General features: G+C 38.6%; 1 non-coding gene and 1 pseudogene across 1 annotated transcript; both read right to left on the bottom strand.

The window, feature by feature from the left end:
* Nucleotides 1–26742, bottom strand: part of SMG1P4 (SMG1 pseudogene 4) — a 36690-nt pseudogene that overhangs the window by 2915 nt on the left and 7033 nt on the right.
* Nucleotides 7316–7419, bottom strand: LOC124903801 (small nucleolar RNA U13). The gene has a single exon (XR_007065246.1). It is a non-coding gene; the product is annotated as a small nucleolar RNA U13 (small nucleolar RNA).

A 26742-nucleotide genomic window follows, 5' to 3' on the forward strand; every position in this document is an offset into this window, starting at 1 on the left:
GCCTGACACACTGACAGTAGACCTCTGCAGGACAACTTTGACACCCAGTTCTCTCCAAGCTGCCAGTGAGCTCCCTGTGCAGCCTCACTCCTCACCTACAGCATGAGCCCTTGCAGCTCTCCCAGCATCACAATCTTGTATCTCAGTCCTGGCTTCTTTCACTGCTGGCATCCCTCCGTCTCTCCCTTTTTCACCTACTTTTCTTTTTTCAAAGAATTCTTCTCTTTCATCTGCTTATATGAAAAATAATGACACCTCTGAAATTCTTTCCTGTAGTTCTGCAGCATCAATGCCAGGAAGACAGGCCTCATCCTCCCAGCTTCTATGCTGCTCCTTTCAGATCCCTTACCCTGTCCCCATTTTCATGACACGGGCTCTCCAGCCAGGAAGAAGACACTGTTTCTCACTCTCTCTCTTTTCCATCTTTGCCTGTCCCTCTCGCTGTGTAACTTCCCTTATAACTCAGCCTGAGGCCAGTGCTAGAAAGGCACATCACCTGACTTATTCTGTGCCTGATTCTACCTAGATCAGTGCAACCACTGGCTTCTCAGGGGGACCCTTGAGTACTGGGCACTGATGAACTGCTGCCAACACAGTCATCATTTCTGCCATTAAAAGGTCCTAAGTCCTCTCCAGTGGCAGGTTCCCCAAGTCCCCACTATGCTCTATAATGCCCTATGCTTTCAGCTAATGACTCAGTCCTCAGAAAAAACAAACAAACAAAAAAACACAGGCTTTAATTTCCTCTACCCCTACCCCCAATCCACCATACACTGCCGAAATTCTGTCTATACCAACTTTGACTGCTTTCCTTGAGGCAGAGAAAAGGTGAGGGCCAGTTAATCTATCAATGTTCTTTCTCCTGTTTCTTCAACCTCTGCTTTCTAGTGGCTCCTTCCCCTTGGCCAAAAGAACATAATCTCTCCAACATTTAAAATAAACATCTCATATTTCCCTCCAGCAACAGCTTCCTATCCTCGACTTCAAGAAAAACTCACTGACCAAATAACTTACCTCAAGCTTTTCATTTTCAAATGTCTCTACCACTCAATACTATTCAATCTAGCTTCTTCTGTCTCTCTACAAAACTCTTTTTCCTTATAATCCCTAGAGCATCTGACAAGGCTGACTACTCCCATCTGGATGTCCTATATCTAGGGCACTTCCCTTCTCAATGTCCCTGTATTTTTTTGAATGGCTTCCTCTTCTATCCTTTCACAAAAATGCTAAACTAGGATTCTGACCCAGGCCTTCCTTCCTCTTCACTCACTATTCTCCAGAGGCTTCTCTCTGGTTTGGTTGCTTACAAAGGCTCTAGAGTATAGAGACTGAAAAGGAAAGAGGGCCTTTTCTGTGTACTAATCATCTGCAAATCTCTCAAGCTTAGACTGTCTCCTTAGTTCAAAATCCAATTCTTAACAGCTTACCCAACAATCTCATCTGCACATTTCATTAGAAATCTTAAAACAGGGCTTGTTCTCTGTGTGCTCCTACTCCAGTTAATAGCATTGTTTCTCTTCCCTCTACCATTGCCCCCATAAATTAATGGTCTCCATGCTTCCATACTTGCCCCGCACCTCCAGTCTCTTCACCACAGCAGAATGAACCAAGTCAGATCACAACACATCTCTGTTCAAATCCCACCTGAAATTTTCAGTCTTACTAGAATAACAGCCAAAGTTCTTTTCTCAGTTCCCAGCTACTTCTCTGCCCTTATATCCTACTGTTTAAGGCGCTCCTAAACACACAGGCCTCCCAGCTATTTCCAGAACACTCCAAGCCCATCATTCTCACATCAGGTCTAGGCCCAAAGGGCATCCTGATGGGCATGTCTTGACCTTGTGTCTTCCCTCCAAAGAAGGTCAGCTTTACCTAACTGCTTTCCTTATGGCACAGAAAAGGTGAGTGAGGTCCAATTAGTCCTTCTATCAATAATCTTTATCTAATCTTTGCTTTAAAAGGTTGGAATTTGTGTCTGTTTTATGTGCTGCCTGGGTCACAGCACATGCTCAGTGAAGCAATTACACATTAACCCATTTAGCAGTAGAAGGCAAGGGTATCAGACAAAGTCTAATGACCTTTATCTTCCCAGCCAAGTGTCTGCAACAGAGTGAGTGCTCAGTTTTGAATTACAGAATTAATAAAAGCACAGAGGAATGAGAAGAAAGTTTAATTTACAGATGTTCACAAACTCTGTCCTCATTAGAATAAATGTTTTTGATATATTCAGACCTCATTTCGAAACAAAGCCATCAAATGTGATTCTTTCTAAAGCAGTACAAATTTTTCTTTATATTCACTCTGGCATAATCTTCAAACTGTATTAAGGTTTTAGAACGACAGGTTCTGAAAATTAATACCAAATGACTATCTCAGCAGTGTTTTCCCATTATACAAATACCTTCCCTCATCTCTGATGTCAGTTTCCTGTTGTCATTTTCATAATGGCAGTAAGTTAGAAATATAACCATTTTGTATTACTACATATGACCAATTTTAATATTTTTTTGCCATAGGAAAAACATCATAGTTATTGGAAATTTGTTTTATAACTGGAAACAGAAAGCCTTACTTTATATAGTTGAAGTCAGCTTTCAGGTTGAGGGAAGTGCTACTGGTACTCTTTTTCAAGTCATGGATAGCGTTCTGCCATTCCTGCACAGCAGCCCAATCGGCAGTTGAGATGTAGCACTCACATGCTTTGTTTCCTAAATAATTTATAACCTCAGGGGAAGAGTCAGTCGGTTTGGACAGCACACTTTTTCTGGATTCACCTGAAAGTATTTTATAAAATAAGAAGAGAGAGATTCAGATCAATTAGAAATATTTCAAAGAGCACAGAAACCTAAAAACATGATAAGAACATCAGTACGAAATATATTACTATAACTTTTGCTTTATTTAAAAATACTGAATGCTCACCATTCAGACAATGTTTCAGGCTGGCACTCTTACACCCAGCACTGGCTAAGGTGAGCACCGATTTGTCAAAGCTGGAGATGCAGCAATCAACACCTGTCATGGCACACAGGTGTTCCTGGTACTCCACAGAGGCCTTTTCAAACCTGAAAAGCAAATTGAAGCAGTCTTATTTCTTTATTTATCTAACTACTTACTTTTTTTTTTTGAGATGAAGTTTTGCTCTTCTTGCCCAGGCTGGAGTGCAATGGCACTGTCTCAGCTCAGTGCAACCTCTGCCTCCCGTGTACAAGCGATTCTCCTGCCTCAGCCTCCTGAGTAGCTGGGATTACAGGCGCTCGCCACCATGCCCGGCTAATTTTCTTGTATTTTTAGTAGAGACGGGGTTTCACCATGTTGGCCAGGCTGGTCTTGAACTCCTGACCTCAGGTGATCCACCTGCCTCGGCCTCCCAAAGTGCTGGGAATACAGATGTAAGCCACCGAACCCAGCCTACCTAACATGGCAAATTTTGTTTTTTTAAATATTGAGTGGGAAAAACAGATCATAAAACCATGTGCCTATGTACGCTGATGTTTTGGTGAAGAATGGAGGAAACGACATGAAAGAAAAAAGAATTACAAAGCGTATGGATATGGAAATATGGGACTACAAAAGGACACACAACAGAAGTTACTACAAAGATATGGAAGTATGAGCAGTTCTTTTATTTTCCTAAGTTCGCAAGATTTCATTAAACTAACATAAATGGACACAGAATATTATGGTACAAGCTCCTCTACCTGGAGGAAGCAATGAGTCTGAATGTAGAGTTCACTGGACTAACGAGCAAATACTCTGACAATAAAGGGTAATTTGTATCAGACTCTGAGGGGGAAGGAGCTCAACTAGGGATCAAGTTCAAAAGCATTTATAAAACAACTGACAGGTCTTGTTTTACAGTGTGATTTGCCACTAATTCTTAAATAAGAAAGGCACTCCAGTATTGCTGCTAACTAAAGAACAAACTGAAGATGCCTCCTGGTGAAGGGATTTATAGCAAGCTTCAATGCTGAAAGCAAACAAAGCTGTTTTAAGATTTGGCTACAATGTCAGTGAGTAATACAAAGAATTTAAACATAAAGTAATTCTATCACCCATTTCCTTCCCTCCAACCTACCTCCCTTCAGCCTGTTGAGCCACTGAGTTAATCCACAGAAGATGTTTTCCAACAATAGATGATGACCAGACAGCAATTCCCTGTATAGCTTCAGGACAATGAAGTTCACATAGTGCTTCTACCACCATCATAATGCTTACTTCCAATTCATTCCCCTGAAAACGCATTCAGAAAAGTTAGTCACCCAATACCATTAAAACATAAATCCCTATAAAATTTACAACTGATCAGTCTGTGCCTGCTTAAAGCCAAATGTATTTAACAATTATTGTCACAATTTTCACATTATTTAGCTCAGAATTCTTTAAAATGTTACATATAAAATAGCCACAAAGGGTGACTAACAGAACCTTAGCAGCACATGGATGTTTGTACCCCCACCCCAAAGTTACCCAAAAACATTTAACCTGTGACCTCTGTAGGAATAACACATGGAGTAAAAAGAAAGCAAAAATGAAATATAAATAAACAGGAATTAAGGAATGATTAACTTCATGTGTTTGAAAACTGCTTGACATTACCTGAATTGCTAAACATTTTGTTATTTTTGGATTCCAGTTATTTATTGTGAGCCCACTTTCAAGCCAGGAATTACTCAAGCATTTGTCATACGTTATAAAAACAATTTCTCCTGGCCAGGTGCAGTGGCTCATGCCTGTAATCCCAGCACTTTGGAAGGCCGAGGTGGGCGGATCACTTGTGGTCAGGAGTTCGAGACCAGCCTGGCCAACATGGTGAAACCCTGTCTCTACTAAAAATACAAAACTTAGCCGGGTATGGTGGTGGGTGCCTGTAATCCCAGGGACTGAGGCAAGAAGAGGCTTGAACCCGAGAGGCGGAGCTTACAGTGAGCCGAGATCGCACAACTGCACTCCAGCCTGGGCGACAGAGTGAAACTGTGTCTCAAAAAAATAAATAAATAAATAAAAATTTTCCCCCATAAACAAATTTTCAGAATTACCTTTAAAGTTCTAAACTTTGCACGGAAGAAATAGAGTTTTAACGTGTTCTAACATGAATATTGTTTTAACATGAACAAAAACATGAACATTATTTTGACTTCTAACACTGTTTTAACACGAATAAAATAGGTAACTCTGGCAGTTGTTGCTTTTACAAAATACAGGATCAAAACCTTTGAAAATGAATCCAAGCTTTAACTTATTTTATCCATAGATTAAATCATACCAAAGGAATTAAACCATGTTTTTCTTATTAACAGACTTAAAATGAATTTCAAACACACCACTTTACCTGAGATAGGCTGGTTGTTTTCATCTCTGTAAGCAAGTCAAAGCCATGTCTCACTGTCACTGCAGGCTGGCCTGCCAACAATCCTACCCTCATGATGGAGAGTCGAATCCGCGTTAGCCAGTCCTGACAAGTTTGGCGATTGGTATACAAAAAAGTTCTAATGACCTTTACGATAAGAGAAAGAAAAGCTCAGGACTGGTTCAATTTGTAGGTAAGGATGTCTCACCTATATATAAACCAAATACACAAGTCTATTGTGATTTCAGCTCTGCACATACTGCCAGCTGTGACCATTAAACTGCTATAAAACAACACTATCTCCCGGAAACCAACCTTGGGAGGTGAAGTTAAGGCATTAGCACATCCCTCGTATGCATTATACATTAATTTCTCCAGATTTTCCAGATACTGCAGAAGAAGAACAAGTCTAAGTTGGTTGTTACCATGGCCTTCATCACTGTCTGCAGTTGTCCACTGACTAACATCCTGATCAGGGTTTAATGTGTGACCTGCGAGACTTCGAATGATACCTGAAAGCAAAGACAACATTCTGAATTTTTAAAAATCTTAAAAGTTCCTAGAATAAGTGTGAGTTTTTTATGACCAATTCACATTTATCAAGTATCCTCTGTCTACCCATCATTTAAAAATAAAAAATCCCAACATGAAAGATCTTTCATTTTAGGGGAAAAAAATATATATTTTTTCCACACAACTCCCATAAGTTTTGGAAAAAAAACAAACATATTTCCAATGCAATTATTCAATGAAAGCTTATTCTAACAAACAAACCTGAAAATTATTGACTTTTTTCAAAAAAAATCATATACCCTCAAATCTTTAACAAAGATTTAAAAATCCATTATTTCTCAATAAGGCTTTGAAAGTATTCACATCATAAAGCTTGAGCGAGTTACCTTCAATTGTCTGGAAGGTGTCTTGAGCTCTGCCCAGTGGGGTTCTCAGCTTAGAAAGAACAGTGAATTGTGCAGCTTCCCATATGGCCCACTGCCAAAGGATAGCATCTGTCTTCAGGAGATTGCGTGGAATTGTTGACTGGTCACGCTTATCCAGTCTCTGGCAGCTATAGAACAGTCTTTCCAACCAATTGTCCTTCCTGGGAAAAGTAGTTTCATATTTAAAAGACAATGACAACTTCATTTTAATAATGAAAAAAAAATGCAAGGGGAATGGGAATAAGGAACTGTAATTTTCCCTACTCCAAAAAAAGGCAAAACCTATGAAATTGAGAAGCATTATGTCCCCCCCTCTCATTTTGAGGTCTTGTATAGTTAACAGGATGAGGTACAGTGTGGAAGGATGATTAGGGTAAACGGCTCATGCCAGTCAGGAATGAAACTCATTCAATGCAACTAAGCATCTCTAGAATATCTCCACCCCCACCCCACTCCCCAAAGTGTTAATGACATCACATCAGTTAACTGTTAACCACATTTCATTACTCAATTTCAAAGCCCATTTTTGTTTCTACAGATGCTATCTTCAAAGCAATTTTCCTATTGATGAAAACTGAAATAACCCATATGAGAAGAATGTTACTTGATACTCTGCCACCCCCAAACATATTTTCTCTTCAAAACTGCATGTAAAGTCAAGGGAATCTTAAAATTTTCTTTCCCAGATAAAATAGTCAAAGAAATGTCTTACCCTGTTCTATGAGAGTTCCCATACAAAATAAAACTAATAACATCAGAGAAATCTTGGGGGTGGAATGTATTACTTGGTGCTTTACTCATGTGACTTCTTAATGCTAAAGAAATTTCTTGAATTTCTGTGTGATTGTTATCGCTGTAGACAGAAAATAAAGTTGTTGTTATGCAAAATATTTTAGCTTAAAAGGTTAGCACATACTGTAAGTGGATTATTTACTTATTAACTCACTGGAGGTAAAAATATAGTAAAATTGAGACTTTCAAATGGATACAGAGATGTGATTACAACTTTAGATCCTTTTTTTATTCACCTCAGATGGGTCATGTGCCGACATCATAAGAGGATTTGAGGGAGGCATATCAAACATGTGAACATAAAAACCCAATCATTATGCTTATCTATTACAAAAGGATCAAGTTTAGGCTCTTAAAAGCTCCCAAATCAACTTGATCAAAAACAATAAAAGATTACTGTTTAGTTTTTCAAATATCTGAGCTACTAAGAAACATATTTTGGCACTACATGAGTTATTCTATACTAATTATTGTGAGCCTATAAAGCTCATTAAAAATTTTTAATTTTCTTGCAGACCTGCAAAATTTGATTATTTGACATCACTTCAATCACTGACAAGCAGGGCCATAAAAGATGTGTCATTAATGCTCTAATAGGTGATGTGTCTTCTCCTAAAGTAGACAACCAGTAGAGGCTGTAAATATCACAGAATGTCTTTGCTCCAAAACAACTGTTATACCTTAGGACAACACCTAAAGGAATTGATTTCAACAGTTTTCCAAATGCTTGTCGAATACAAGTTCCACGGTGCACTAGTTGAACACGGCAAACATCAACACATCTATGAAAGAACGAAATAGACAAAGCAGGTGTGTTAACAGTTCCAGGTTATTAGGGTTAATGTCAAAAGACATGATCTTAATTTCATACCTCTGTAAAAGATCATCTGGCAAGGAAGAGGATAGAGCATGTAGACTGCTGCATGCCTGCAGACAGATATTCACATCTTCAACGAGAGCTATTAAACATTAAAAGACAGTTACTTTCAGCTGGCCAAAAGAAATTATATCCCAGTTTGTCATAATTATCTGAATCCATTCATTCATTCAACAAAGAGTGAGTGCCTACTATAGACTAGGCACTGTTCTTGTCCAGAATCCTCATTGACTGTCACATTTGGAAAAATGACACATTCAACAAAACCCACGTAATGTAACTGATGGGTCATCACACAAAACTTTTTCTGAGAGAAAATGTAAAAGTATATGTAAACTATAAACATTCACGTTAGCTTAAAAATGTGACAATCACTTCAAAACATTTTTCTAATACTAAGAATGAAAAAAAATCAAGACTGTGTATCTGTCATTAAAATGAGGATTACACATCTTCAGGTCAGGAAAAGAGCTCGATTCATGACCATCTCCCATTACCAAAGACCCTTTTAAGGACTGATAAACAAAATAGAAAAAAAAAAAAACAGAGTCTTACTGTCAGCTAAAAGGCCTTTGCAAAATTTATGGAAAGACGGAAGACAGAATAAAGGTGCATATGTTTCGGACTTCTTCATTACAACAGCTACTTCCAAAGCCCAAGTCATTAACAGTTTCCTGAAACACAAAATATACAGTTGACTGTACATTAAAAAAAAAAAAACAACAAAAACAAAAAAAGTTAAAAGCCTAGTCTTCTTACATTGGTTTTCTCTTGGTTTTTCAAACATCTCAAACAATAAAAAATAAAAATAAAAAATGAAACTATAGAAATTACTGTCAAAATTGTTGTGTGCCTTTTAAGAAAACCTCCCAACGCAGCATGATAATAGCAAAGAGGCCGGGCGTGGTGGCTTACCTGAGGTCAGGAGTTCAAGACCAGCCTGGCCAACGACATGGTGAAACACCATCTCTACTAAAAATACAAAAATTAGCTGGGTGTGGTGGCGGGCACCTGTAATCGCGGCTACTTGGGAGGCTGAGGCAGGAGAATTGCTTGAACCTGGAAGGCAGAGGTTGCAGTGAGCAAAACTCCGTCTCAAAAAAAAAAAAAGCAAAGAATATTAAAAATCTATATATATTCTTCTATGAAACACTGGGGGTGGGGGATTGAGGTTTTTCATGTATTTCTTTTCAGAAAGAATAAGAAAGCCTAGATTAAATAATAAAACCAAATTATAAGGTGTTTGACAATAAAGAAGCTGCTCTACCTCACCTCTATAATCCACATTTTTTTAAATTTTTTGTAATCCACATTTCTTCTTCTCAAATTATAAAGGCAAATTAACAAAGTTAGGAATGGTTAATACTATATAATATCTGTTACCTCGTGTCCTGGTTATCTTTCTTAAGTAACATTCCCAGAAGATTTAATATAATTGAGAAATGTTTCTTTGTGGCCGTAGTTACAGTGCCAATCACAGCTCCATCAAACAAAGAAGGAGAGGAAGAACTGAGGCTACTAAAGATAAAGTGATCATGCCTGAAAGACAAAGCATAGATTATCTTTTCATCTTTAATCAAAGAAAGCAAGCAAGTCCAAAGTTAAATCAACATACATCTTTAAAATCTATCCATTAAAAAAATAAAATGTTTTGTGGGGTTCTTTTCTTAAGAAAAATTTGTGAATACAGTACCTGGTACAATGAGGATACAATGTGTAGAGCACAGCATACTGAATGGCAGGGAAGTGAACAGCCAGGTCACTGTGCACAATCATCAGATTCTTACTCAGAAGTGCAAAGACAGTTGGAGATAGCGCCCACATCTGATCACGTACAAAACAAAGTAAGTTTATGGCTTCTCCAAAATAAGCACAAGCATACAGAGTTTATCCTTCAAAACAGGGGTATTTGGACATTTTTAAATTAAAATTACAGATTGGAAGGGATCTAGTACACTACACCTGGGACAAATACTTTTTTGTGAAGTCAGTAAAGCCTTTGCGTGCAATATAGCATCTCTATGCAATGCAGCAACTCCTCGTCTATCGCTACAGTAAGAAAACAGCCACAGGTCAGGTGTTGTGGCTCACACCTGTAATCCTAGCACTTTGGGAGGCTAAGGTGGGCAGATCACTTGAGCCCAGGAGTTTGAAACCAGCCTGGGCAACACAGCGGGACCCCATCTCTACTAAAATTACAAAAAGTAGCTGGGCATGGTGGCGCACACTTGTAATCCCAGCTACTCGGGAGGCTGAGGCAGGAGAATCGCTTGAACCTGGGAGGCAGAGGTTGCAGTGACCCGAGATCATACCAATGCACTCCAGCCTAGATGACAAAGTTAAGACTCTCTCTCTCAAAACAAAACACCAGCCACACACAAAACACAGGAATGAGAGTACCTGTGTTCCAAGAAAACTTTCTTGAGTCGGAGTCTCTCGCTCTGTCGCCCAGGCTGGAGTGCAATGGGGCGATCTCAGCTCACTGCAACCTCTACCTCCGGGGTTCAAGCAATTCTCCCTGCCTCAGTCTCCCAAGTAGCTGAGATTACAGGTGCCCATCACCACGCCCTGCTAACTTTTGTATTTTTTTAGTAGAGATAGGGTTTCACCATGTTGGCCAGGCTGGTCTTGAACTCCTGAGCTTGGGTGATCTGCCTGTCTCAGTCTCCCGAGGGATTACAGGCGTGAACCACTGCGCCCAGCCCAACAAGAACTTTCTTTACAAAAACAGGCACTAGTGTTGTGATGGTTGTACACTTCTGTGAATATAGTAAAAATCAGTGAATTATACACTTAAAATAACAGACAAAAAACAGGTGCTGGGCTGTATTTGGCCCACAGACCATAGTTTGCTGATCTCTGGTCTAAACAGAGCCCTTTGTATGTGCCTTTTGCGGAAGTAGACTGTATTTCCTCAATTTTCCATATACTGCAAATGGCAAGGTGCCCTGTTCAATAAGGAAACAGAGGCACACCCTGCCACCCTACACCTTTTCCATCCATCTTTTTCCTTTACACTGCCAAGACACTCCACTCCACCTGACTGCCCCATCCCCACCCACTTTCTCCTTATTTCTAGAGTACAGGACATAAACATCTTTGAATCTGTAAATAATGTGAATAATTTTCCTCAAAAATCAAGCTTTCATGTTTGAAGAAGAGTTTATTGTGACTTCAAACATAAACTGTAACTGGTAATAAGCGAAGCAGCTATGGAATTATACAAGGCAATCCAATCTAACAACACGGAGCACATTGAAGCGCAAACATCAAATTTTACCTTCTTCCTCCTAAAAACTTTATTCCCTAATTACATCCATTTCTTTCTTTGTTTCTTTCTTTTTTTTTTTTCTTTTGAGACAGAGTCTGGCTCTGTAGCCCAGGCTGGAGTGCGGTGGTGTGATCTCAGCTCACTGCAACCTCCACTTCCTGGGTTCAAGCAATTCTCCTACCTCACCCTCCAAAGTAGCTAGGATTACAGGTGTGCACCACCACCCCTGGCTAATTTTTCTATTTTTAGTAGAGGCGAGCTTTCACCATGTTGGCCAGGCTGGTCTCAAACTCCTGACCACAGGTGATCAGCCTGACTTGGCCTCCCAGAGTGCTGGGTTTACAGGTGTCAGCAACCGTGCCCAGCCTACACCTATTATTTTCTATTAAAAATGATGTTTTTCAACTCTGTGTGGTCCAATAGGAAGAAGAAATACACAAACCATAAACAATAAATACAAATCAAGAGCAGGGCCACGTCAAATTACTTAAAAAAAAAAAACACACGGGCTGGGCGCGGTGGCTCATGCCTGTAATTCCAGCACTTTGGGAGGCTGAGGCAGGTGGATCACCTGAGGTCAGGAGTTTGAGACCAGCCTGACCAACATGGTGAAACCAAGTCTCTACTAAAAATACAAAAATTAGCCCGTCGTAGTGGCAAGTGTCTGTAATCTTAGCTACTCGGGAGGCTGAGGCAGGAGAATTGCTGGAACCCGGGAGGCAGAGGTGGCAGTGAGCCGAGATTGCACCACTGCACTCCAGCCCAGTTGACAACAGCATGACTCTGTCTCCCCAAAAAAAAAATAAAATAAAATAAAAAAAAAAAAAAGTCCCCCCACCACCACCAAAAGGAAGACTACAGGTTCAGTATCCCTTATTCAAAATGCTTGGGACCAGAAGTGTTTCAGACTTTGTATATGTTTGGATTTGAGAATACTTGCATATATATAAAATGAGATATGTGGGGGATGGGACCCAAGTCTAAAGACGAAATTCACTTATGTTTCATAGACACCTTCTATTCATAGCCTGAAGGTCATTTTATGCAATATTTTAAATAATTTTGGGCATACAACAGTTTGGACTCATCACATGAGGTTGAGTGTGGGATTTTCCACTTGGGGCATCATACTGGTGCTCAAAAAGTTTCAAATTTTGGAGCATTTTAGATTTAGGATTTTCAGATTAGGGATGCTCACCAGTAAGTGTTATGAAAATATTCCAAACTCCGGCTGGGCATGGTGGTGCCCACCTGTAATCCCAGCATTTTGGGAGGCCAAGGCAGGTGGATCACCTGAGGTCAGGAGTTCACAACCAGCCTGGCTAACATGGTGAAAACCCATCTCTACTAAATACAAAAAAATTAGCCAGGGGTGGTGGTGCATGCCTGTAATCCGAGCTACCTGGGAGGCTGAAACAGGAGAATCGCTTGTACCCGGGAGGCGGAGGTTGCAGCGAGCCAAGATCGCGCCATTGCACTCCAGCCTGGGCAACAAGAGTAAAAACACTATCTCCAAAAAAAAAAAAAAAGTATTCCAAAATCCAAAATCGAAAACACTTCCAGTCCCAAGTATTTCAGATAAGGAATATTCAACCTGTATGAATGTTCCTAGGGAAAAAGAGACAGCCAAAATATAAGACCATGTATAAGAACTAACTTCAGTACACAGAAAGAAAAAAGTACCAGGGGAAGAAGAAAGAGACCGCATTTTAAAACAACTATACAAATTTGAGCTGTAAGAAACACTGACATTTTCTGTAAGCATGCTAGAGCAAATAGGAGAAATTCATAAGACATTTTCTAGAAAATAAAACTAATATAAAAAAACTTATCAAGATTTGTCAAGGAAAAAGAAGAAAAGTTAAATATAATGGCAAGAAAACATTCCTACCAATTTTATTTATCCAGGCATGTCTTAAATATGGCTGTTTGTTACATACAGTGATTCTGCAGACATGTTGACATAACAGTGAAATACATAAATATGTAATGAGAAAAGGCTTAACTGTTGATAAAACAAAGTCATTACAATTAAAGGCTCACCCCTATTAGTGAGTTTTTGGCATTTCCAATTGTAGTCAGGGCACTGAGGTCAAATTTAACTACAAATTTTGCATTGTCTACATTGAACACATGATTCTTAAAAGCCTCATGTTTTATTTCAGAACAGGACTCAGGAAGTTGCAGACTGTGCAGGAGGTTGTTTAGGGCACAAGTCATTTCTCCCAATATTAACTTATAGGCAGTCTCCAAAACAGGAATATTCTTCAAGCTGAGCACTGCTTGATAAACAGCACGGGCTACAGCAACAACCTGAAAAACAAAAAATTCAAGGAAGTGATAAATGGAAAATAAATCTTCTAAAATTATATGGAAAATAAATCACTATCTGTATTAGTGCTGATGATACAAATAAATTTAAGATCGATCAATTCACTGTCTGTAGCATTTAATATTTTAATTTTTTAAAAACCAATCAGAAAACTGACACAGATCAGTATGCTATTTCAAATCTATTAAGTTTTATCACAAATAAAGAGTACTATAAATGAAAACTGTCAATAGGAAATTTCCAAAATGGCCGTTTTTGTTTTTTTTTTTTAATAATCAACATCAAAAGACATATGCAAACAGCAGTTTAAGACTGGGTTTCTTAAATCTACCAGGAAAGTCTGTGGTGGATTTGACTAGGGGGTGGTTGAAAAGCCAGTCATTTTTGTTTACCAAATATACAGTACTTCTTAATTTATAACTTTATAAATGTGTCAACTTGTTTTACCCTTATGAAAATTTAATAAATTTAATAACAGCAAAAGATGCATAGTCTGAAAAGAGTATCTGGCACACCATTCATGAAAGTATTCAGTATGATTATCAAGAAATATAAATTTAAAAGAACAAATACAATCACTATATTCTAAATCAAACATTTCACATTTCACTCAATTTCACTTATATAGCCTGGGGTAAGCAACATTAGGTCCAACTCTTCAGTGACTCAAGTTGTCAAAATTCATTATCAGTGTATTACTTACCTCTTTTTCTTTATGATAACGCAAGAATAGTAGTTTAGATGATGGTATAAACAGTTTTTCTACAAATGATGATGGCAGTTTCGTATTTATCTGTTCAACAATCTAAAAGAATAAAATTTTTAAAAAATGAGCTTCTCAAATTACAAAAAGACATGGAGAAACCTTAAAGGCACACTGGTAAGTGAAAGAAGCCAACTGAAAAGGCTACATACTATATGACTCCAACTACATGGCATTCTGGAAAAGGCAAAACGATGGAGACAGTAAAAAGATCAGGGGTTGCCATGGGCTTAAGATGGGGGGAGGGAGGAGTGGGGAGAGGGAACGAGGAAGGAGTGGGTAGAACATAAAAGATTTTTAGGGAAGTGAAACTATCCTGTATGATACTGGTAATAGGGGAAACATGTCATTACACATGTTAAAGTCCATAGAATACATAACACAAAGTAAACTATAAAATTAGTTAATAATAATATATCAATATTCACTCCTTTGTAATAAATGTACCACACTAACACAATATGTTAATGAGGGGGAAACTGTTGGGATGAAGAAGGTATATGGGAACTCACTGTTTTCTGCTCAATTTTCTGTATATCTAAAAAATGAAGTCTTTTAATTTAGAAAAATATATCTAAGCTATATTTTAAGGCCTTAATACTGTGACATTAAAGTGTTTAGACACCTAAATAGGACACACGTATTTTACAGTTATCATGGGCATTTTTTCACATTAGCAAAGAGAGGTGTAATTCTGGCAGAAATGCTCAGCAGAATGTCATCTAGAATTTGCTGTAAAATAATCTAGTTGGAGATGAAAGGATAGCAAAGAGGCCTAGATGAAACCAGATGGGCCATTTGTTTCTAATTATAGAAGCTGAGTGTTAAATATGTACAAATTTATTATACTATGCTCCCTATTTTTATGTGCTTCAGAACGTCCATAATAAAAGTGGGGGGAGGATATTTATGGTTAAGAAATTAAAGGAGGCCGGCCGGGCGCGGTGGCTCACGCCTGTAATCCCAGCACTTTGGGAGGCCAAGGCAGGCAGATCACGAGGTCAGGAGATCGAGACCATCCTGGCTAACATGGTGAAACCCCGTCTCTACTAAAAATACAATTGTGCCACTGCACTCCAGCCTGGGCAAAAGAGCGAGACTCCGTCTCAAAAAAAAAAAAAAAAAAAAAAAAAATTAAAGGAGGCCAGGCATGATTGCTCACACCTGTAATCCCAGCACTTTGGGAGGGCAAGGCAGGAGGATTACTTGAGACCAAGAATTTAAGGCCAGCCTAGACAATGTAGCGAGACCCCTTCTCTCCAAAAAATATAAAGGTTAGCCAGGCATGGTGGCATGCATCTGTAGTCCCAGATAGTCGGGAGGCTGAGTGGGAGGATCACTTGAGCCCAGGAGTTTGAGGCTGCAGTGAGCTCTGATTGTACCGCTGCACTCCAGCCAGGGGAATACAGCAAGATCCTGTGACCAAAAAAAAAAGAAAGAAAAGAAAAGAAAAAAAGAAAGAATCTGGTGCGTAGAGCAATGTTTCCTCAGAAAAAACGAGTAAAGCTACACTGAGACTAGCTATCAACCACTAAAAATAGAGGCCTGGCAGAGTGGCTCATGCCTATAATCCCAGTACTTTGGGAGGCCAAGGCAGGTGGATTGCTTGAGCCCAAGAATTCAAGACCAGCCTGGGCAACATGGCAAAACTCCATCTCTACAAAATAATATAAAAAATTAGCCAGGTGTGGTGGTGCACGCCTGTAGTCCTAGCTACCTGGGGGGCTGAGGTGGGAGGATCACCTGAACCCAAGAGGTCAAGGCTACAGTGAGCCAAAATCATGCCACTGCACTTCATCCTGTGCAACGGAGTGAGACCCTGTCTCAAAAAAAAAATTGCATTAAAAATAAAAGTAAATAGACACTAAAATGAAAGCATAGATTATAAGACTGATGAATGTACTCTAAAAAAATTATATAATAAAGCAAAGCCCTTATTTTTTTTCTTTTTTGGAGACAGGGCCTTTTTTGTCACCTTGGCTGAGTGCAGTGGCACAATCAGAGCTCACTTCAACCTCAAGTTCCTGGGCTTAATCGATCCTCCTCCATCAGCCTCCCGAGTAGCTAGGACTGCAGGTGCACACCACTACACCAAGCTAATTTTTGACTTTTTGTACAGATGGGGTCTCACTACATTGCCCAAGCTGTGCCAGAATTCCTGGATGCAAGCAACCCTTCTGCTTTGGCCTCCCAAAGCGCTGGGATTACAAGCATGAGCCACCATACCCAGACAAAGCCCTTAATTTCTTACATATCCATTTAAGGGCCTGAATAAACCAACACATTAAAAAGGAAAAGAATAATTCACATACCAGCGTGAGTAAATTCAAGACTGAGATGATATAATCGGTACCACAAGTCTGGCAATTCTCCAGTTGGTCTAATCCATATGTAATGACCATGTCACAATGTATAGTCATGCTAGGATCCAAGCTGCCGAGCAAAACACCAACACGCTCATTAGCAGCTGTCAACACAGCCTCAGAAAAAAACACCTGGTTTGCAGCCGTCACACATCTCATTACTCTGTACAGCACCTGTAAATGGGGAAAACCAGCAGCTTTTTAAAAAAATTCACGTGCTTCCACAAAGCAAGAAAATACTTTTTATTTAATGCAATTTCAACTGAAAATTAACTGCTTGCCTTGCCAGCAGTCTCTTAATATTCTAGTTCTCAGTAGCTGAATAATGATGATACCTTTACTACAATATGTAAACATGATCTTGGCTAAAAAATCCTAAAGTGCTACTATGACAGGAAATGGAATCTGCCATCCTCTATTTCCCACATACCCAACTTCGTTTCTCCCAATGTCACTAAATGGCTGAAGCTCAGAATCTTTATCATGAAATACACCACGACAGTAATGGTATTGACAGCATGGGAATAGCCTGCCCACACATACTACAAGCTAGCTCTTGGGCTTTTGGGAATCAATCTTTCAAAACTGAACATACAAGTCACTTTAAGCTTATTAAAGTTTCTATCTACTGATGGTCTCTTTTGAAAGATAAGCACTCTCATGCTTGCCACATAATATCTTCAAAAATCATATTATTTCCAATACACACACACACAAAATCCCCCACTTAACTATAATAGCCAATAATTGTGTACTAAATTTCTAATAAAATAGGGGAGAAAACAGAGCAAATGTTAAAAAATATTTCTATAATATTTAACAACCAATACATACAGGATTTTATTTAGTCTACCCATAGTTTTCATTAAAAGTATCCTTAGAGGTTGGGCATAGTGACTCACATCTATCATCCTAGCACTTTGAGAGGATTAGCTGGAAGGTTCTCTTGAGTCCAGGAGTTTGAGACCAGCCATGTCAACATAACAACACCTCATCTCTACCAAATTTGTTTCTAAATTAGTTGGGTGTGGTGGCTCACACCAGTAGTCCCACCAACTACTTGAGAGGCTGAGGTGGGAGGATCACTTAAGCCTGGGAGGTCAAGGCTGCAGTGAGCCAAGATCGTGCCACTGCACTCCAGCCTGGGCAACAGAGACCATGTCTCCAAAAAAAAAAGAGTTGGGGGGAGAGGGCGGAGGGGGAAGCATTCTTGGCCATGCATGCACAGTGGCTCATGTCTATAATCCCAACACTTTGGGAGGCTGAGGTGGGAAGACTGCTTGAGGCCAAAAGTTCAAGACCAGCCTGGGAAACACTGAGACCCCATCTCTACAAAAATAAAAAATTAGCAGGAGCTATGCTGGGAGGATCACTTGAGCCCAAGAGATAGAGGCTGCACTGAGTCGTGATGGCACCACCCCACTTTAAAAAGGAAAAAAAAAAAAAAGCTGGGTATGGTGACACCCGCTTGTAGGGCTGAGTGAGGTGGGAAGTTCACCTGGGCCCAAGAGTTCAAGACTACAGTGAGCTATGATTGAACTACTACACTCCAGCCTGGGTGACAGAGTGAGGTTCCAGCTCCAAAAATAAATAAAAAAAATAAAAACCCCACCATTCTACCATTCTCAAAGGCCTAAAAGATCCTCATAAATCAATATACACCTATCCTATAAATTATGTCCCCTTTATTTTATGTCTGAATTAACGGCTTTTTATTTCAACTCTGTACAGTCTTCAAACAACCACCTTTTAGACATTAAAAATGAAGCAAAGATATTAAACCATTTTGAAACCATATTGGTTTAAAATACCGATATGCCGGTTTCATTTATCTTTAAGTTCTGACATTTCTGCTCAAGTACACAACTTACTATATAATCAATATCCTATTTTATTTAGCAACATGTTCAGCAAAAGTATATGCTCCTAAAAGCAAGTTTTATCCTAACGGTAAAATTTTCATCAGTTAGATTAAATTTTTTATGACTGTATCACACATGCTTCTTTCTCCTTATTCAAAGCAGAGTACAATGCCTGGGGTTCATTTCTTGTGTCTTTTCCACTGAACCCTCACTGGATGTGCTATATACAGTGCAGCTAATGTCTGAGGCTGCTGAAGTGTGGCAATCTAGCTACCTCATTTTTAATTTGTTTATGTTCTTTGATATCAGGCTATCAAAGAATATAAAGATACACAAGTTTTCATATGAGTTCCATCTTATGCTCAGAGAAGATTACTTTCTGAGGCTTCTCCTATAGTGTGCTATTCGTAATATGTTGAAAAACTAAAAGGAAACCCAATAATTTAAAAGTAAAATTATAAGAAATATTATTTAAAAATGAAAGAATGAGATTTAAAAATTCAGAGTGGCCTTTTGTCATGGGAGGGTAGGGGAGTTGGATGAAAGGAGGATGAGCTATAACAGGATTCCCTGCTTTTCTGGTTGTTTAAGAAAGCAGTCAGACAATATATACATATATACATACATACATACATGCTAAACAAATGAAGGATTAATAACAGTTCACCTGGTAAAGAGAAGCATTTACAATGTAAAACAATTTTATTTTTGAATGACACTTCAAATGCCCAAAAGCACTTACATCTGTTACGTATGCCTCAGTAATTGGAGGGCCCGAATTGGGCTGAGGCTTTCCCCAGTGCTCCTCACCACAGTACTAAATACCCGGAGAAGCGCAGCCAGCTTTGGTAATGACACTGATGGAGGAGGGACGTCTTCATCCACTGATTCCCCAGAGGCCACATGGCTGAGGTCCTAGATGTGAATTCACAGCATTCTTAATAAGTAGTACATTGTTTAAAAAAACAAAACAAAACAAAAAAAAACTCTAAAATATTTCAATCAATTCATTTTAGAATAGATTTTTAGGCTTTTAGAAAGAGAACTGTGGCCCATGAGAATATTCATGACTCTGAATATAAAAATGGGTTTTACCTAATTATTTCAAAAAGCCAACATTAAACCCAATAGACAACAAATTAAGGAAATAATCTCTTAAATCAACTCAGAAAGCTGTTGGGGAAAAATAAATTCTAGCACATATGCTCTAGTTATATGTAGGTATAAATGAAGACGGAAGCTTTTGCCACTCCTGAATTAGTTTTTGGCTAAAAATCTCATTCTAGGTATTCTTTGAGCCACTCAGCTCAACAGTAAGTCCTCCAAACCAAGAGCATGCACATGAAGAGCAAAGGGAGATTACAAGACCTGGTCTACAGATGTGTAACTGAAGAAGTACGATATATGAAAAGGACAAGATTCGCAAAAACTAGGATACCAGAACCAATGTATACATCTACCTAAAATTAAGCACCAAAATAACAGAAGAGAATGAGATCTTAAGGATAACAAGGGGAAGCATCTCTACAAACTAGAATGTGTGGCTTATGAGAGGTAGATCAGCTTTAAACGTGGGCTGTGAAAAAAGACATTCTAGGTGTGGGGGCAAAGAAAAAACAACGCAGAAGCAAAACATTTCCTTGCTTTTCTAGGAAAGAGTAAACACATCAGTACAGCTAAAGGTACTGAATTCCTGTTGACTACAAGCAGCAAAGATGAAAAAAACAAGATGAGGCCAAAATCTTTATGGGAGCCTTGACTGGTTGATCTGAATAGGGGAGAAACACAAAGAGATTCAGATAAGAGATGGCACAGAGTTAAGCCATGACAGTGGGGCCAGAAAAGCCAAGTACCAGTAACAGAGGCTTCAGCAGCGCTCTTAAAGCTCCTATGCTATATTCGTACAGCCACAAAAGCTGGCTGAAGCCAAGGCTTGTCCTCCAAAGTACGATTCAAGATCTCCTGTACATATGTAAGAGGAAAATCTTTAGGAGCTTTTGGTGTTTTGTGTTTTTTTATAACACAACATCAATTTGCTTTAAGACTCTGAAGACTGGGAACAAAAAATAAAAATAAATAACAAAATATGTCTTTAGAAAAATACCAGCTACCGAGAGTATGTAAAGCTTTGCGAAATACGAAGCTTGCAACGTTTCTTTTAGTCTCTCCAGTAATTCTCCTGGTAACTTAAACACATCTGAAATAAATGTTTAAAATACTGACTGGGCACGGGGGCTCATGCCTATAATCCCAGCACTTTGGGAGGCCGACGCGGCTGGATCACCAGTGGTCAGGAGTTTGAGACCAGCCTGGCCAACATGGTGAAACCCCGTCTCTACTAAAAATACAAAAATTAGCTGGGCGTAGTGGCGGGCACCTGTAATTCCAGCTACTCGGGAGGCTGAGGCAGGAGAATCATTTGAACCCAGGAGGTGGAGGTTGCAGTGAGCTGAGATCGTGCCATTGCACTCCAGCCTGAGTGACAGAGCGAGACTCCGTCTCAAAAAGAAAAAATTTTTCAAAATATTGCAATGGGCTTGTAATTTCTGCTTAAATGTCAGGAGGTCTGAGCCATTTTAAAATAAATCTAGCACAATTTAAGATTTTTTCTTAACCAAAATTTTAAGAAACAGCTTTCTATATACTCACCTCAGCATATGCTTCCATGTCTTCTAGAAACTGACCAAGTAGAGGCGTAGAAAATGCAAGATCAGCTACCCAAAATGGCTCCAAACTCTGCAACCACCCTTGGAATCGCGTAAGAAATTGTGAAAGGGTAGGGGGGAGAAAAAACACCAAAAAATCCAAATTAAAAAATATAAGAGGCTTCTTTTAAAAAGTATCTGGTTTTCAAGCAGCATACCCTAAAACATGTCCTATATCATAAAATTAAGACTGCTAAACATGCTGATCACGATTAACCAATACCTCTTTAATTAATACCTCCTTAATTTCTGCAGAAATTAACAGGTAAATGTTATTTCCTTACTTTTTCAGTAAATTTCATATCTATATTGTCACTACACATGACTTAAGACTAAAATGCCACAATCTACCATTGGCCCGGCTAATCCCAGGGCCACATCTAACCATTAAAGGTGTATACTCATCTCCTCAGTGAAAATGAAACAGACCACTATCACCTGAATATCTTATTTTCAAAAGTTTATTACACCAAGTAAGTTACGAGAAACTATGACACTTGAAACAAGCTGAAATGTGCAAATGAGCCACGCTAGTCATTCACTTAACTCCAAAAAAGTGGGAAACAAAACCACTTCTCATTTATGACAATTCTCCAAATTAACCCTATATTTCCTTTTTTAAAAAAATAACCAGAAAAACAATAAAATGTGACAAATAACTTGGATCTTCCATTGTCCACTTCAGGGTATTGCCACTGCAATATATTCTTACCATATACTTTCCTACCAGTACAAACTACAAATAACTTGGGTAAGTCCTGTCTGTACTTACTCTACCCACCTACTAGTAATTTCCTCTGAAAATATATATTTAGCTAACAAGTCATGTTCATTTACAATAAAACATTTCTCTGAATTAGTTTTCTTGCATTATTAAAGAAATGGTATTGATAGATGGTCACTGGGGGACCACTGCTCCTCCCCGACAGTATTTAAATAACTGGTATAGGCTGCAAGACTTACCAGATACCTGCTGCGTGAGCGAAGGTTTCTGAGTATGATCTCTATGCCATCCAACTAATATACCAACTGTATCCTTGATGGAAACAAAGAGAGAGGGGGCCAATCATTTTAAGATATTACTGCAATCCACCTGTGGACCATTTCACAGCAAAAGATCCTAAAAGGAGCATCTATGTTCTACCTACTTGACATTCTAGAAACTTAGAAAGGGGAGAGGGGCAGGAAAATAAAAGAACTACATTTCTGACAGCAATGAAATAGTTTATTTTCTTCAAATATTTTAAGGTACGAACGTCAGAAAGAAAAATGCGGCATTTAACCCTGGAACCTCAAATATCACTGATTATATTCAAAGGAGCAGAGGCACTGTTTTCCATCTGATTCCTCAGTTCCTCACACACACAACCATCCCCCTCACCCCATGATCTGAACAGCGGAATGAGGAACTCACCCTAAAATTAGTGCTGAAAATATGAGGGTAACATCGAGCCACCAAAAGAATGCACTTAACACATTTGCAAAGCAATTCTGGTGTATCCACATTTTCAAGAATTGACTGCAGGCTGGTCATTACAAGCTTAAAAATAAAAGTTACAAACCGTGAACATTCAACAAAATAGGGAGAAAACAAGCAAATTAGGTTCATTATTTACGAAGTGCCTACATAAAAACCTGAGTATGAGACCAAGAAAAATAGATTCTGTAGTTTTAGTTAAAAAAAAAAAAGAATTGACTTGTAAATCCCAACTGCTTGGGAGGCTGAGACACAAGAATTGCTTGAACCCAGGAGGCAGAGGTTGCAGTGAGCTGAGATTGCACCGCTGCACTCCAGCCTGGGAAATACAGCCAGACTCCATCTCAAAAAAAAAAAAAAAAATTAATAAATAAATAAAATAAATAAACTGAAAATATTTCGCTCCACTAAGCTGTTAAGCTAAAAACAGATACTGTTTTCTCTTCTTCAATGTTTGTTAATATTAGTCCTTTGACATCAGTTAACATTAGTCCTTAATAACATCTGTTTACAATATCCCTAAATGCTCTCTTTAAGATTCTACCTGTGATTAAATTTCAAATACAAAAAAGTAAAATGGATTTGGGAAACTTTTCTATAAAGTACAACAATTACTTTGCAATCCAAAATATAAAGCAAATTTTATATAATTTATGCTTTAGTATATTAGTACTTGCTTCATATTAAAATTAAGGAAGATCAGTATGGCACCACACATGAATAACATGCAGGCTCAGGTTACCATTATACATAAATTTTTAAAATAAATATATGGCAAAAATAAAATAATAAATAACTATTTGTCATTCCATTGAAAGAATATTTATTTTGCAGCTGTTAAAAAACATTTTTCCCTAAAAAAGGAAAAGCTGTGCTTTACATAGCAATCTTATCAAAGAAATGCTAGAATCAGAAAACCATCATTTTAGGCTGGGTGCAGTGGCTCACACCTGTAACCCCAGCACTTTGGGAGGACGAGGCAGGTGGATCACCTGAGGTCAGGAGTTCAAGACCAGCCTGGCCAGCATGATGAAACTCCGTCTCTACTAAAAATATAAAAATTAGCAGAGCACAGTGGCACATGCCTGTAATCCCAGCTACTCAGGAGGCTGAAGCAAGAGAACTGCTTGAACCTGGGAGGCGGAGGTTGCAGTGAGCCGAGATCGTGCCACTGCCCTCCAGCTTGGACAACAGAGCAAGATTACGTCTCAAAAAAAAAAAAAGAGAAAAAGAAAACCATTATTTTGCAATAGCCAATGTTATAATCTACACAGGCACAGACTATCAATGCTAAAAATCATTTAAAAGACATCTTGGGGTAATTACAGAAATTTGAATATAGAACACATATGTAATAAAATTCATTTTCTTAGGTATGATTACAATATTCTTGTTATACAGAAGAAAAACCTTATTCTTGGGAGATGCATACTAAAACATTATGGGGTGAACTGTCATCATGTGTATGGTTTTCAGATGCTCAACAAAAGTGTGTGAGAAAATAAAACTGTGGCAAAATATTAGTAACTGGTAAATCTAGGTGAAGCATATATTATGAAATTATTATCGTATTTACAGGTATTTATTTTACTGGTGCATCTATCTTTCTATGAATGTGAGAATTTTCACAAGAGCTGGGAAAATGTTCATAATTATGCATGCAGAATAAGCCCAAGCTGGTGGCATTCTGTTCAGTTACAGGTAATTTTCTGAATCTTCCCTCAAATTTTTCTCAAACCTCTATAATCAAGGGGAAAATGTTTCATTTTGTTTTGCTTTTTTGAGACAGGGTTGCCTATAATGGAGTGCAGTAGCTTGACCATAGCTCACTGTAGCTTCAACCTCCCAGGCACAAGCGATCCTCCTGCCTCAGCCTCCAAGTAGCTGCGATTACAGGTGCATGCCACCATGCCCAACTTATTTTTTTTCCTTTTTTTTTTTTTTTTGTTTGATAGAAACAGGGTTTCACCATGTTGCTCAGGCTGGTCTCAAACTCCTGGACTCAGGCAATTCACCAGCCTCAGCCTCCCACAGTGCTGGGGTTACAGGAGTGAGCCACCATGCCCAGTTAAAAATACATTTTTTATTAAAAAAAAAAAAAAGAATATTCCTTATATTTCCTTTATATTTTTTAAACTACATACCCAAAATAAAGCATATCAAAAACTGTAAAAAAAAAAAAAAAAAAAAAAAAAACCCTAATATCAGATATTCCAAACACAACAATACCATAATTTAATCACTTAAAATCTTACTCAAAACTAAATCAATGATCTTTTAGGCCAGGTGTGGTGACTCATGACACTAATCACAGTACTTTGGGAGGCCGAGGCAGGAGGATCACTTGAGGTCAGGAGTTGAAGACCAGCATGGCCAACACAATGAAACCCCATCTCTACTAAAAATACAAAAATTAGCCAGGCTAATGGCACACTCCTGCAATACCAGCTACTCGGGAGGCTGAGGCAGGAGAATCACTTGAACCTGGGAGGCAGAGGTTGCAGTGAGCCGAGATTATGCCACTGCACTCCACGCTGGACAACAGAGCAAGACTCTGCATAAAAAAAAAAAAAAAAGAATGATATTTTAATATATTCAGATACACAAATATGAAATACAACTAAGTAGAGCCGGTATTCATTTACACATAATTATCTTATACCATTTGGAATAAGAATTTGGGGCACGTTAGCAAACCAAAAGGCTCAGAAAGAAGTTGTGATATTTAGTTCTTGTCTCCCTCTACAAATGTGAAGCACTCTTCTATCCGGCATTACTAGTGGAGTTCCTATTTTCAACTTTGCAAATTCTGGTCCTAAGCAATCTCAAAAAAAACATTTCTAAAAACCAAAGGGGAAAAAAATCTTTTTTTTTTTTTTTTTTTTTTTGAGACAGAGTCTGGCTCTGTCTCCCAGGCAATGGTGCGATCTTGGCTCACTGCAACCTCGGCCTCCCGGGTTCAAGCCATTCTCCTGCCTCAGCCTCCTGAGTAGCTGGGACTACAGGCGCGTGCCACCACGCCCGGCTAATTTTTGTATTGTTAGTAGAGACGGGGTTTCACCATGTTGGCCAGGATGGTTTCGATCTCTTGACCTCATGATCCGCCTGCCTCAGCCTCCCAAAGTGCTGGGATTACAGGCGTGAGCCACCACGCCTGGCGTGTAAGCCAATTTTTTAGAAGAAATCTCTCCCTCTCTCTCCACATATATGCATATATGTATGTAGCACTGATCCTTGAACAGTGTATCCTTTACTCAAACTGAGAAAGAGGAATTTTTAAAACATATTTCCTATCAGTAGATAACCCCTATTCTATGATTCCCTTCTTCAAGCTCCCCTCCAAGGACATGTGTTAAAGGGACAATTTTCTTCCCAAGTATATCATGCATTTTTTCCCCCTTCATTCTTACCTGCATTACAGATGAAAAGGCTTTCTTTTCTCCTACAGTCTCTAGTGCTTTGTAGGTGGCACATAAGTAGAGGAGTTTAACTTCATCTTTTGCAGATGAGCTAAATTTGCTAAAAATCCACTTGAAGATCTTCTCAGCCTCATAGCTCAGAGAAGCACAAAGAAGGCCGAGACAGCAAGCTCCCTCCTGTCTCAACTCCTGAAGCAATTTGCTACTGTGTTTATTTTAATGCAAACAAAAAACACACACAAAAGGCTTAAGTTTTCTATGATGACACGAGTAATACATCTTACAAAAGAATGTCTTAAGTGGTTTTTTAAATTTCTATTCAAACTACATAAAAGGTTGAAATTTTCTCCACTCTAAATACTACATTCTGTCTAGCCTGCATTGCCCTCAAGTATCTGTCTGACATCACTTTCTTTTTACAAAATCAATTATTTACAAACAGTGAGGGAAGGCCCAAAAATGCTAAATTCCATCTCAAACTGTATTAAATAACTCTCAGAAAAGGGCAGCAACAAATAAGTAGATAAAACACTCTATACATAACTACATTCTACATAATATCCAATATGTAATGACTATAAAATAAAAAATGG

The sequence above is a fragment of the Homo sapiens genome, chromosome 16 (genome assembly GCF_000001405.40).
Source record: "Homo sapiens chromosome 16, GRCh38.p14 Primary Assembly".
NCBI classification, from domain to species: Eukaryota; Metazoa; Chordata; class Mammalia; order Primates; family Hominidae; genus Homo; species Homo sapiens.